The 13,046-nt window shown below is 45.7% G+C and overlaps 1 protein-coding gene across 10 annotated transcripts in view; it reads left to right on the top strand.

The window, feature by feature from the left end:
- Nucleotides 1–13,046, top strand: part of RNF216 (ring finger protein 216) — a 161,617-nt gene that overhangs the window by 126,370 nt on the left and 22,201 nt on the right. For all 10 annotated transcript variants that reach the window (NM_207116.3, NM_207111.4, NM_001377156.1 and 7 more), the window contains one exon: nucleotides 2,784–2,881. In NM_207116.3, coding sequence (NP_996999.1) covers nucleotides 2,784–2,881 — 98 coding nt within the window. Of the gene's footprint in view, nucleotides 1–2,783; nucleotides 2,882–13,046 lie in introns of those variants that run through there.

The following is a 13,046-nucleotide window of genomic DNA, read 5'->3' as shown; positions in this document are numbered from 1 at the left end:
AGTAAGAAGCGCCCTGGCTGAAAACCCACACGTTCACCTACAGAAGAAGCACTGTGACGTAGAGGGTGAGCAGAGCAGAGGGCCTCACAGTGGCCCTCACATGCACCTGGCTCCAGCCTGGCCAGGTCATTTTGCCCTGGTGGGCCTGTGCCTCATCTCAAAAATGGGGTTTCTTCCCTTATGAGGAAGACCCATGAATTAATAACGGAATTGCCAGGAATGCTAAAAAGTATCTAAATGCCATGTATTGTTTTCAAGCTGTTACTCCTGGAAGGGGCTGGGTTGGCATTGTTTTAGAGGTTAGGAGCCAAACATCAGCTCATCTATTCTCCAGCTGTTGTTTGTCCTCCAGCTTCCTGCAATAGTCAGGCACAGGGTTTGTTTCTTATAAAAATGGGTTTGTGCTGCTGTATGTTTCGGTGGGTAATAGTTAGGCACCCTAATATATATCACCTTTGTTTACTGAATGGGATGTAGGTGAGGGAACAGAGCATATCCGCATCCCTCGGAAGCAGTGCGTTTAAATGTATGTCCTGTCAGCTCCTCTCTGCCCCACCCACCCTAGCCCATTGATTGAGCCTTTTTTTTTTTTTTTTTTTTTTTTTTTGAGGCGGAGTCTGGCTGTATTTCCCAGGCTAAAGTGCAGTGGTGCCATCTCTGCCCACTGCAGCCTCCACCTGCCAGGTTCAAGTGATTCTCCTGCCTCAGCCTCCCAAGTAGCTGGGATTACAGTCACCAGCTACCACGCCCAACTAATTTTTGTATTTTTATTAGAGGTGGGGTTTCGCCATGTTAGCCAGGCTGGTCTCGAACTTCTGACCTCAAATGATTTGCCTGCCTTGGCCTCCCAAAGTGCTGGAATGAGGCACCTGTAGGTGTGAGCCACCATGCCCACCCTGATTGAGGCTTTTTACGACATCCCACCAGAAGGGTCAGGTTCTCAGCTCCCTCAGCATTCTGTTCCATTTTTCTCCCTTTTTAAATTCTTTTTATTAGATAGTACACATATAGTATAAAATTCAGAATGTACAAAAGGGCCAGGCACGGCGACTCATCTCTACACCCACCAGTCTTACTTCCTCCCTTGCTCTCAAGTCAGTCCCCTTTTCTACCTGTCCTTGCCCACCACCCTTGTCTGGGCCTTCATGGCCTCTCTCCTGAGTGGCTTTACTAGCTTCTGTCTTTTGCACGTTCACTCTTTCCTCCCTCCAGTGTTTTCCACCCAGAATGATTTTTTTTAAAAGACATACCTGATCGTGTTACTTCCGTACTTGGCACCTTTTGGGGGCTTCCTAGTGCTCATAGGATAAAGAAAAAACTGCTCATCATGCCCTTCAAGGCCTTGCCTGGTCTGGTGCGTGCAGGCCTCCAGGGCCATGCTTACTGTCTGCAGTCCAGCCATAGGAACTGAACATGCCCGGCTTTGCCTGCCAGAGTCTTCTCTTGCTGCCCATTGTCTGGAGTGTTGATCTGTTTTCGCCGCCCTATTCATCGTTGACTCGTCCTTTGGATCTCAGGCCTCACTTCCTCAAGCCTTCACTGTCTCCCCAGACTAGATCAGGGCCCCACTTAAAACTGACAACACTATGTTTTCCTTCACTGTAACCTATTAGGGTTATAATTTCCATTTAATGCCTGTGATCATTGGATTAACATTTTTTTTTAATTCTTTTTTTTTTTTTTTTTTTTTTTTGAGACAGAGTCTTGCTCTGTCGCCCAGGCTGGAGTGCAGTGGCGCGATCTCGGCTCACTGCAAGCTCCGCCTCCCGGGTTCACGCCTTTCTCCTGCTTCAGCCTCCTGAGTGGCTGGGACTACAGGCGCCTGCCACCACGCCCAGCTAATTTTTTTTTGTATTTTTAGTAGAGACAGGGTTTCACCGTGTTAGCCAGGATGGTTTCAATCTCCTGACCTCATGACCTCGTGATCCGCCCACCTCGGCCTCCCAAATTCCTGGGATTACAGGTGTGAGCCACCGCGCCTGGCTCTTTAAATTATTCTTACTGATGTGGGATAGTTTCTGGCACATATGAAAGCATTTTATAAACTATGAAGGATCCTAGAATAAAGGTGGTGATTATTTAAGATGCATGTTTATATATGAAGTGAAACTTTTAAGGGTGACATCCATGCCGATGAGTGATGAGCAACGGAGGAAAGTCTCCCTTAGGAGCCCCTGGTGAACTGAAGTAGGCCATTCTTCAATCCAGTAGAAGCGAGTTTTGGACGCCAGCTTGTGGGCACAGGGATTTTGCAGAGATTAACGAGATCCAAACAGGCCCTGCCAAGCAGCTCGTGCTACTGTGTTTTAAAAACCCAAGATTACCCAAGATCCGTCTCCTTTGGTTTTTTCAGATGGCCCAGAGCATTTTAGAAAGGCTTATGCAAATTAAGTGATGGGAGCAACACTTCCTTTTGATCTAGGGAGAGAAATTTTTCCTTGTGCGTCCTTCTAATGATTCTTACCACTCCCCTCTCCTCCCCCAACTCTTTGTCTTTTTTTTAAGGGACAGGGTCTCACTCTGTTGCCCAGGCTGGTCTCAAACTCCTGGCCTGCCACAGCCTTCCAAAGTGCTGGTACTACAGGCGTCAGCCACCTAGCCCTACCACCTCTTAACCTCTTCTATTAAAAGATGTCTTTAGAAATATCCCCCCTGAAAAGGAGAGGCATCCTCTGAAAGAATTCAAGCCAAGTAAAGCTCATTTCATATCCCTTTTGTTGAACAGGAACTTCTGTGGTGTCCACTCACCAGGAGTTGTCTTTGTGTCTGTCCTTTATCCCCAGGAAACCTGTAGGAAGTGTCAGGGACTCTGGAAAGAACATAATGGCCTCACCTGTGAAGAGCTGGCTGAAAAAGACGACATCAAGTACCGTACCTCTATGTGAGTAACAGAATTCAGAGGGGCTATGGGCTGATTCTCAACTTCCCCATTAACCTGCTTTTTGGTAGAGAGGGCATACTGTTGTCGGAAGAACACGCTTGAGCCACCCCAGTCTGGAGTGATCTTGGGGAAGTAATCTAACCCTTGAGCCTCTGTTTCCTCATCTCTGCAGCCTCATGGAGTTATTTCAGAAGACAAACTAACATATAAATGCCTGGCACCTGTGAATTCAATAAATGATGGTCCCCCTTTTCCTTATTTTCTAAATAAGCAAGTAACGCGTTTTAATTAACTTAGACTGCACTAGTGTTGCTTATGTCTGTGTTATAGGAAACTGTTGGCCTGAGACCTAAGTAGAATTGCCCACCTCCAGAATACAAAATGATACGCCTGTGATAATAATAACCATTACTTGTATAGTACTGTGTGGCTGAGCACATTACAAATACTCACTTATTAAAATGCAGGCCAGGCGCAGTGGCTCACGCCTGTAATCCCAGCACTTTGGGAGGCCGAGGCTGGCGGATCACGAGGTCAGGAGATTGAGACCATCCTGGCCAACATGGTGAAACCCCATCTCTACTAAAAGTACAAAAATTAGCTGGGTATGGTGGCGCTTGCCTGTAATCCCAGCTACTCGGGAGGCTGAGGCAGGATAATTAGTTGAACCCGGGAGGCGGAGGTTGCAGTGAGCCAAGATTGCGCCAGTGCACTCCAGCCTGCCAACAGAGCGAGACTCCGTCTCAAAAAAAAAAAGAAAAAAAGAATGCAATGACCGAAGTAATACTGAAATCTCTTTCTCTTCTCTCATAACAATCTAGCCTTACCATGCAGCTGAGGGTGCATATCTATCTCCTGACGTTATTCAGAGATTGTCTCACAGCCGGGCAGGGTAGCTCAGGCCTGTAATCCTGGCATTTTGGGAGGCTAAGGCAGGTAGATCGCTTGAGCTCACGAATTTGAGACCAGCCTGGGCAATATGGTAAAACCTCATCTCTACAAAAAATAAAAAATAAAATTATCCAGGAGTGGTGGGCACGCACCTGTAGTCCCAGCTACTTGGGAGGCTAAGGCAAGAGAATTGCTTGAACCAGGGAGGCAGAGGTTGCAGTGAGCCAAAATCGCACCACTACAACACTACAGCCTGGGCGACAGAGCGAGACTCCAACTCAAAAAAAAAAAAGAGAAGATTGTCTAACTGCTTCACCCTTCCCTGAAGGTGATATTCTCTTCTGCATGATTGTAACTAGATTGTGGCCACATTTACACTCAAACCCAAAGAAAGTGGGAAATAGACAACTTGCCAAGCAGGCAGCTTTTCTTTATGTTATAAGTGATACAGGAATTATATACATATATCTCACTTCCGCTCGTATCGCATTGGTCTAGATTGTCACGTGGGCAAGGCAAGCACCGTATGTAGCCTGTAGTTGGGTGACTTTATGTCCAGTTTAAATATGAAGGATATGGAAGGAGTTTGGTACTCAGAAAATGAAGTGGGCAATGGCAATTTGGGCAGTTTCCCAAGTATGCAGCACAGGTGGGTACCATTATTCTCTTACAGATGAGGCGGCTGAGGCCCATGTGATTTGCCCTTGGTTGTATGGTTAAGGACCTTGAGATGGGGAGGTTATCTGGATTATCCGAGTAGACCCAGTCTAATTACAAATCCTTAAAAGCAGAAAGTCCTTAGTGTGGGACGAAGAGTCAAACAAACGTGAGAAGGACTTGACCCCCCTGTTGCTGGCTTTGAAGATGGATGAAGGTGGCCATGAGCCAAGGATTGAGGTAGCCTGTAGAAGTTGGGAAAACCCTCAGCTGACAGCCACCAAGAAAATAGAGACCCCGGTCCTACAACCTCAACTGAATTCTGCAGACAACCCAAATGAGCAGCAAACATACTCTCTCCTCAGGCCTCCAGGAGGGAATGCAGCCCTGTGATAAGGCATCTGGACTACTACAGGACTCAGTAGCAGGCTGTGAGATGTTTCTTGGAAGGAGAATTACTTACAAAGCACAGCCTTCATTCTGATTGTCCTATCGGTTCCTGGCACTGGTTCCGCTCAGCGTCTTGGTCTGCCACACATAGCCCACCACTGGGTCCTATTTAAACCTGGCAGCCTTTTAGATCAGCAGTAAGTGGATAAGAGCAGAACATCCAAATGTGATATATGTTGATTCCAAAAATCAAAAACAGCCTCCCAAATGTTGGGCTTCTTCCTTAGTGATAGAGGATGCTTCTGTCATGAGCCTAGCTTTGGAAGGGATATCATGATATACATGCCTGACCTCCAGACCACCAGAACTTCATAGAGATGACACATTCCTACATTCAAGGGATTTCTCTCTCTAACCTTCTGGCATTCATGTAGCATATTAATACATACTACCATAACTGCTACTTCCTGTTCACCAGGTTCTATCTGCATGTCGTTCAAGTAGAACGGTGTGTTATCCTATTGAACGACATAATCAAGGTCCTCACTGGCTGCTGGTGTTCTCTGATTATCGAACAGACAGGAAAAGCATTTTCCAAATCATTCGCAGCATACCAGTTGCCAGGGGCTGTTTGTTCTGGTGAGAGATGACATCTAAAACAGCAGCCACATTTAGTCAGCATCTGTTGAGGCTTAAAGTAATACACTGTCCTCCAAGAGCCATTCTTCTGTACAAGCCAAATGAGAAGTAAAAAGAGATGTGAAAGAATCATCGCCTCTGCATCTTAGAAGTCTTTGATGGTGGTGCCAGTCTAGAAGATGCCCAAAGGAATCTGGTGATGTGTTTTTTTTTTTAGAGAGAGGGTGCTCCACGGGCTTCAACTTGCCTTTCCTTATCATATAGCCCCTCTGGGACCAAAGAGCAACAGAATCCTGCCAGATGTCAAAACGTTTTTTTTCTCGCCTTGAGACAGTGTCTTATTCTGTCATCCAGGCTGGAATACAATGGCACAATCACAGCTAACCTTAGCCTTGACCTCCTGAGCTTGAGTGATCCTCCCTCCCTTTCTTTCTGTCTTTTTTTTTTTTCCTTTGGAGACGGAGTCTCCGTCTGTCACCTAGGTTAGAGTGCCTCGGGTCATTGCGACCTCCGCCTCCCAGGTTCAAGCGACTCTACTGCCTCAGCCTCCCGAGTAGCTGGGATTACAGGCGCCTGCTACCACGCCCAGCTAATTTTTGGATTTTTAGTAGAGATGGGGTTTTACTTTGTCGGCCGTGGTTGGCCAAGCTGGTCTCGAACTCCTGACCTCAAGTGATCCCCCCACCTCAGCCTCCCAAAGTACTGGGATTACAGGCGTGAGCCACCGCGCCCGCCCGGCCGTCACTTTCTTGTTTTTAAACTGCTATAGTGTTTTCAAGCAAATCCAAATCCCTGACAGCATGTCATTTCACCCATAAAACCTTTTTTTCTTATATAGCACTTACCTTTATGACCACTAACAAAACTAAAATTGAAATTTTAAGTCTTTGATATCTCATACCAACTTCACAGTTCCACTAATTATCTCAAATTAGCTTTACATGTGTACTGCAGTTAGTTTGTTCAGGTTAGGATCCAAATGAGATTCATTGCATTTGATAATTGGCCTGTAGAATGTCTTCTAGAGTTGGCTGGTTTCTCGTGGTATCATTTAACTTGTTCTTCTGTCCCCTGCGTTTTCTTTTTTTCTTTTCTTTTTTTTTTTTTTGAGACAGAGTCTCACTCTGTCACCCAGGCTGGAATGCAGTGGCGCTATCTCGGCTCACTGCAAGCTCTGCCTCCCAGGTTCACACCGTTCTCCTGCCTCAGCCTCCCGAGTAGCTGGGACTATGAGTGCCCGCCACCATGCCTGGCTAATTTTTTTTTGTATTTTTAGTAGAGACGGGGTTTCACCGTGTTAACCAGGATGGTCTCGATCTCCTGACCTCATGATCCGCCTGCCTTGGCCTCCCACAGTGCTGGGATTACAGGTGTGAGCCACCGTGCCTGGCCTGTCCCTTCAATTTTCTATAAATTAAAATTTAGATCTAATCAGGCACAGTGGCTCACGCCTGTAACCCCAGCACTTTGGGAGGCTGAGGCAGGCGGATCACCTGAGGTCGGGAGTTCGAGACTAGCCTGACCAACATGGAGAAACCTCTGTCTCTACTAAAAATACAAAATTACCCAGGCATGGTGGTGCATGCCTGTAATGCCAGCTACTCAGGAGGCTGAGGCAAGAGAATCACTTGAACCTATGGGGCAGAGGTTATGGTGAGCCGAGATCACGCCATTGCACTCCAGCCTGAGCAAGAAGAGCAAAACTCCATCTCAAGAAAAAAAAAAAATAGAGCTAAAGGCTTGATTAGGTTCTCACTCAAAGGTTTTTGGTGAGAACATTTCACAGGTGGCTCTGTGCATCTCAAATTACAAAACACCCAGAGCTATGCAGTGTCTGGGTGGCCCACCATGAAATACTTCTAAGCAAATGAATGTCATGGCCTAAGTTACATGATTTTGGTGGCTACAGGGCAAGTAGCTTTAAAGAAAGCAAGACTTGAATAAAGGAGAAAATTTAGAAGGCCATTACAGTAGTCTAAGCCACTCTATCATAGGGCTCCAATATAGGTTTGTAGTATTATAAATGGAGAAGAGGGGATAAATTTAAGAAATATTTAAGATGTAAAATCAACAGGTCTTGGTAGCTGATAGATACGGGAAGTAAGAGCGGAAGGAGTCTAGAATGATTCTCAGGCTTCTAGCTTGGGTGATAAAACTATACGAGCTAACCCAAAGAACCAGGAGTGGGAGAGATTAAGTATAGGAAAATGAATGGCTGCCACACCGGTAATCCCAGCACTTTGGGAGGCCAAGGCGGAAGGATTGCTTGAACCCAGGAGTTGAAGACCAGCCTGGGCAACAAAGTGAGACCCTCTCTGTACAGAAAATCTAAAAATTAGCCAGGCATGGTGGCACGTGCCTGTAGTCCCAGCTACTTGGGAGGCTGAGGCAGGAGGATCCCTTGAACCCAGGAGTTCGAGGCCGCAGTAAGCCATGATTGTACAAGTGTACTCCAGCCTGAACAACAGAGCAAGACCCTATCTCAAAAAAAAAAAAAAAAAAAAAAAGAAAGAAAGAAAATGAAGGTTTCAGATGTGGACATGGCAAGTCAGCTGCATTGTTCACCAAACTTTAGTTCTTCTCAAAAAATACACTCAAGGGAGTGACATTACAAAAACATGACAGTGTAGGGAATTCCAAAAACTCCTATCTCCCACCAGAGCAAGAATTAACCTGGCAAAAACTGCCAGAGGCAACTTTTTCCCTTTTTTTTTTTCACCTTTCACAACTTCCTCAGGGCTGAAACAGCCTCCCAGTGGATTGTGTTGAAAGCATTTGGAGGCATGTACCAGCTGCAGCTGCCTGAGGCAATGAGTAACACATGGGCAAGCCAAGACAGATCTAGAAGACTACGTACATGTCTAGGGCTCAACACATGCTCAGAAAAACCCAAGACCCTAGGCTTTCACCTCACACTGAGCTTTAGGTTCTGTATTAACAGGAACTCAAAAACTAAGAAAGTTACAGATGACCTGGCTGAGTCAACTCAGAGTACTCCAACTGCAAAGATCAGGATGGGAGGATTGGTTCTTTCATTTTTTTTTTTTCCTGGCATTGACCACTAAGCTAATACAACAGAGACTTCAGTGACCACACATAACAAGGAATAGTCTTTACAAAAATAACTTTCTTTTTTTTTTTTTTAAGATGGAGTCTCGCTCTGTCGCCAGGCTGGAGTGCAGTGGTGCAATCTTGGCTCACTGCAACCTCCGCCTCCCAGGTTCAAGCGATTCTCCTGCCTCAGCCTCCTGAGTGGCTGGGACTACAGTTGTGTGCCACCACACCCAGCTAATTTTTTGTATTTTTAGCATAGATGGGGTTTCACCGTGTTAGCCAGGATAGTCTCGATCTCCGGACCTCATTATCTGCCCGCCTCTGCCTCCCAAGGTGCTGGGATTACAGGTGTGAGCCACGGCACCTGGCCCCCTTTTTTTTTCCTTTTGTTTTGTTTTGTTTTGTTTTGGGATGGAGTCTCGCCTTGTCACCCCGTCTGGAGTGCAGTGGCAATGATGCGATCTCAGCTCACTGCAACCTCCACCTCTGGGCCCAAGCGATTCTCATGCCTCAGCCTCACGAGTTGCTGGGACTACAAGCATGCACCACCATGCCCGGCTAATTTACAAAAATAATTTTTAAAAGTCACTAAACAATCTCAAACCATACAAAAAGCAACCTGATTTCTAGACTCTTCTCAGTATAATATTCAAAACACCCAGTTTTCAACAATAATTTATAAAGCAAACAGGAAAGTATGGCCCATTCACAGGGAAAAAAGTAGTTGATAGAAACCATCTCTGAGGACACATTGGGCATACTAAACAAATGCTTTGAATCAGCTGTCTTAAATATGCTCAGAAAGCCAGGTGAAACCATGGGCAAAGAACTAAAGGAAACCAGGAGCACAGTGTATGAACAAGTAGAGAGTATAGATAGAAATTAAGAAACCAGCCAGGCGCAGTGGCTCACGCCTGTAATCCCAGCACTTTGGGAGGCTGACGTGGGCGGATCACTTGAGGTCAGGAGTTCAAGACCAGCCTGGCCAACATGGTGAAACCTTTCTCTACTAAAAACACAAAAATTAGCTGGATGTGGTGGCGGGCGCCTGTAGTCCCAGCTACTTGGAAGGCTGAAGCAGGAGAATCATTTGAACCCGGCAGATGGAGGTTGCAGTGAGCTGAGACTGCACCACTGCACACCAGCGTGGGGACAGAGCAAGACTCTGTTGCAAAAAAAAAAAAGAAAAATTAAGAAACCAACAGAAATTCTGTACCCCAAAATTACAATAGCTGAGATGAAAAATACACTAGAAGAATTCAATAGCAGATTTGAGCAGGCAGAAGAATCAGAGATCTTGAAGATACGGCTGTTGAAATTATGCAGTTGGAGGAGGAGCAGAAAGAAAAATGAATGAAGAAAAGTGAATAGAGCCTAAGGGACCTGTAGAACATCATCTGATGTACCAATATTCACATTAAGGGGAAGCCCAAAGAAGAGCAGAGAGCAAAATGAACAGAAAGAATATTGAAGAAATAATGGCTGAAAACTTCCCAAATCTGATGAAGAACAAGAGTCTATACATCCAAGAAGCTGAATGAATTCCAAGTAGGATGAACTCAAAGAAGTCCACACCACGACACATCAGAGTCAAACTGTTCAAGACCAAAGACATAGAAAATCTTGAAAGCAGTAAGAGAACAGCCTAATCAGAAAATAGGCAAACAGGCGGGGCACGGTGGCTCATGCCTGTAATCCCAGTACTTTGGGAGGCTGAGGCAGGTGGATCACGAGATCAGGAGTTCGAGATGACCCTGGCCAATATGATGAAACGCCTAAAAATGCAAAAATTAGCCAGGCGTGGTGGCACGTGCCTGTAGTCCCAGCTGCTCAGGAGGCTAAGGCTGGAGAATCTCTTGAACCCAGGAGGTGGAGGTTGCAGTGAGCCAAGATCACACCACTGCACTCCAGCCTGGGCAACAGAGCAAGACTCCGTTTCAAAAAAAAAAAAAAAGAAAAAAAGAAAATAGGCAAACAGCCAGGCACAGTGGCTCATGCATGTAATCCCAACACTTTGAGAGGCCAAGGTCGGGCAGATAGCTTAAGCCCAGGAGTTTAAGACCAGCCTGGACAACATGGTGAAACCCAGTCTCTACAAAAAATTTAAAAATTAACTGGGCATGGTGGTGTAAGCCTGTATTTCCAGCTACTCAGGAGGCTGAGGTGGGAAATCACTTGAGCCCAGGAGGCGGAAGTTGCAGTGAGCTGATATTACACTACTGCACTCCAGCCTGGATGACAGAGTGAGACTCTGTCTCAAAAAAAAAAAATGGGCAAACAATATCAATTGATATTTCTCCAGAAAGATGTACAAATGACCAACAAGCACATGAAAGCATGCTGAACGTCATTAGTCATTACAGAAATACAAATCAGAACTATAATAAGATACCGCTTCACACCTATTAGGATGACTATAATGAAAGCGATGGAAAATAACAAGTCTTGACAGAGATATAGAAAAAATGACACCAGTATACATTGAGGTGGGAATAGAAATAGTGTAGCCGCCATAGTTAACAGTTGGCTTTCCCCAATAAGTTAAACATAGAATTACCATATGACCCAGCAGTTCCGCTCTCAGGTACTCACCCAACATAAGTGAAAACAAGTGTCCATATAAAACTTGTGCAAGAATGTTCATTTAACCACAATTCACACCAGCCAAAAAGCAAAAAAAACTCAATCCATCAACTCATGAATAAACTAATATGATATATTCATACAATGGAATATTATCCAACCATAAAAAGGAATGAAGTATCGATACATGCTACAACATAGGTGAACCTAGAAAACAACACACTAAGTGAAAAAAGGCACAAAAACACACGTGTGATTTCCATTCCTATGAAATATCAGAGGCATATGGGCATTTGCCTAGCCTCAGAATGGCAATCTGTAGAGCCCAAAAGCACGCTGTGGGTTGCAGGGCAAGGAGGAATGGGGAATGCCTGCTTAGTGGGTACAGGGTTTCCTTTTGGGGTTATAAAAGTCTCTTGGAACTAGATAGTGATGTTGATTGTATAACATCGTGAATACTCAAAATATCCCTGAATTGTATACGTTAGAGTGGTTTAAAAAGTCAATTTTATGTGCATTTTACCACAGCAAAAGAATGCATACACACATGCATCTTCACGCTCACAAAGGGGACGGGCTGAGATCTGAAGGGCATGGCTTATGCCACCATCAGAATATGGCTCCCAGAGAGGAGTTACCCACACACTGGCTGGTGGTGAGCACAGATAACTACAGGAGTCTGGGCTGTCGCTGGCTGCATAGAAGAGGCCCTGAGCCTTCCTGTGTGAGCGCAAGGTCAGCAACCACAGTCACAGCTCCGGCTTCTCTTCCTGTCCTGCCCCGGGAGCACATCCTGCGGGGCTGTGTTTCCTGCCTGGTTGAGAATCTAGTTGCCAAACCACCTTTCCTCTGAAGGAATCAACCATGATTTTTCCCCATTTTTCACTTTTATATTACTGGCTAGGTAGTCACCACATCCCATAATAAAACTCCATTCTGGCCCTATCCAGTACTACTCTTACAAATGCAGAAGCAAAGGACTTGAGTGGACATTTGTGCAATATTGAATAGCTGTTTAACATTTCAGCAATATTGAATAGCTGTTTAACATTTCAGCAATGTTGAGTTGCAGGCATGCTTTATGTATTCCTCTGTCCATTTTAGGAGAGCCTTTTTTTCTCCCTCCATACCCATTATTATTTCATGTCAGTGCCAGACAGATCGGATGAGCAAGCAAATAGACCCTCTTTCCAAGCCTTCATGAAAAGACTGTAACCTTAATTCTTTACAGCCTCTTCTCTCCTTGAGCAGCTTCCCAGGGAAAGTCAGCCAGCCCCAGGCAACTGGAGTGCCACACCTTAAAGCCGCACCTCAGCCTCAGGGTGCTCTTACAGAGAAGGTTTGTGCTGTAGAAAATTGCAGTTGTGTTTGGGCACATAGCTTTTCAAATTGAAAAGTTTTTCATTAGAACCTTGAGTCTAGCTGGGCGCAGTGGCTCACGCTTGTAATCTCAGCACTTTGGGAGGCTGAGGCAGGCGGATCACTTGAGGTTAGGAGTTTGAGACCAGCCTGGCCAACATGGTGAAACCTCATCTCTACTAAAAATACAAAAAATGGCCGGGCATGAAAGCCAGGTGTGGTGATGTGGTGGCACACACCTGTGATGCCAGCTACTTGGGAAGCTGAGACATGTGAACCGTTTGAACCCAGGAAATGGAGGTTGCAGTGAGTCTCAAAAAAAATAGGCCAGGCACAGTGGCTCACACTTGTAATCCCAGCACTTTTGGGAGGCCGAGGCAGGTGGATCACCTGAGGTCGGGAGTTCCAGACCAGCCTGGCCAACATGGTGAAACCCCATTTCTACTAAAAATACAAAACTTAGCTGGGCATGGTGGTGGGCGCCTGTAATCCCAGCTACTTGGGAGACTGAAGTGGGAGAATCTCTTGAACCCGGGGAGGCGGAGGTTGCAGTGAGCTGAGATGGAGCCACTGTGCCCCAGGCTAGGTGACA

The sequence above is a fragment of the Homo sapiens genome, chromosome 7 (assembly GCF_000001405.40).
Source record: "Homo sapiens chromosome 7, GRCh38.p14 Primary Assembly".
Classification (NCBI taxonomy): Eukaryota; Metazoa; Chordata; class Mammalia; order Primates; family Hominidae; genus Homo; species Homo sapiens.
Note: the sequence above shows the minus strand (reverse complement) of the source record. Positions and strands in the feature narration are given on the sequence as shown.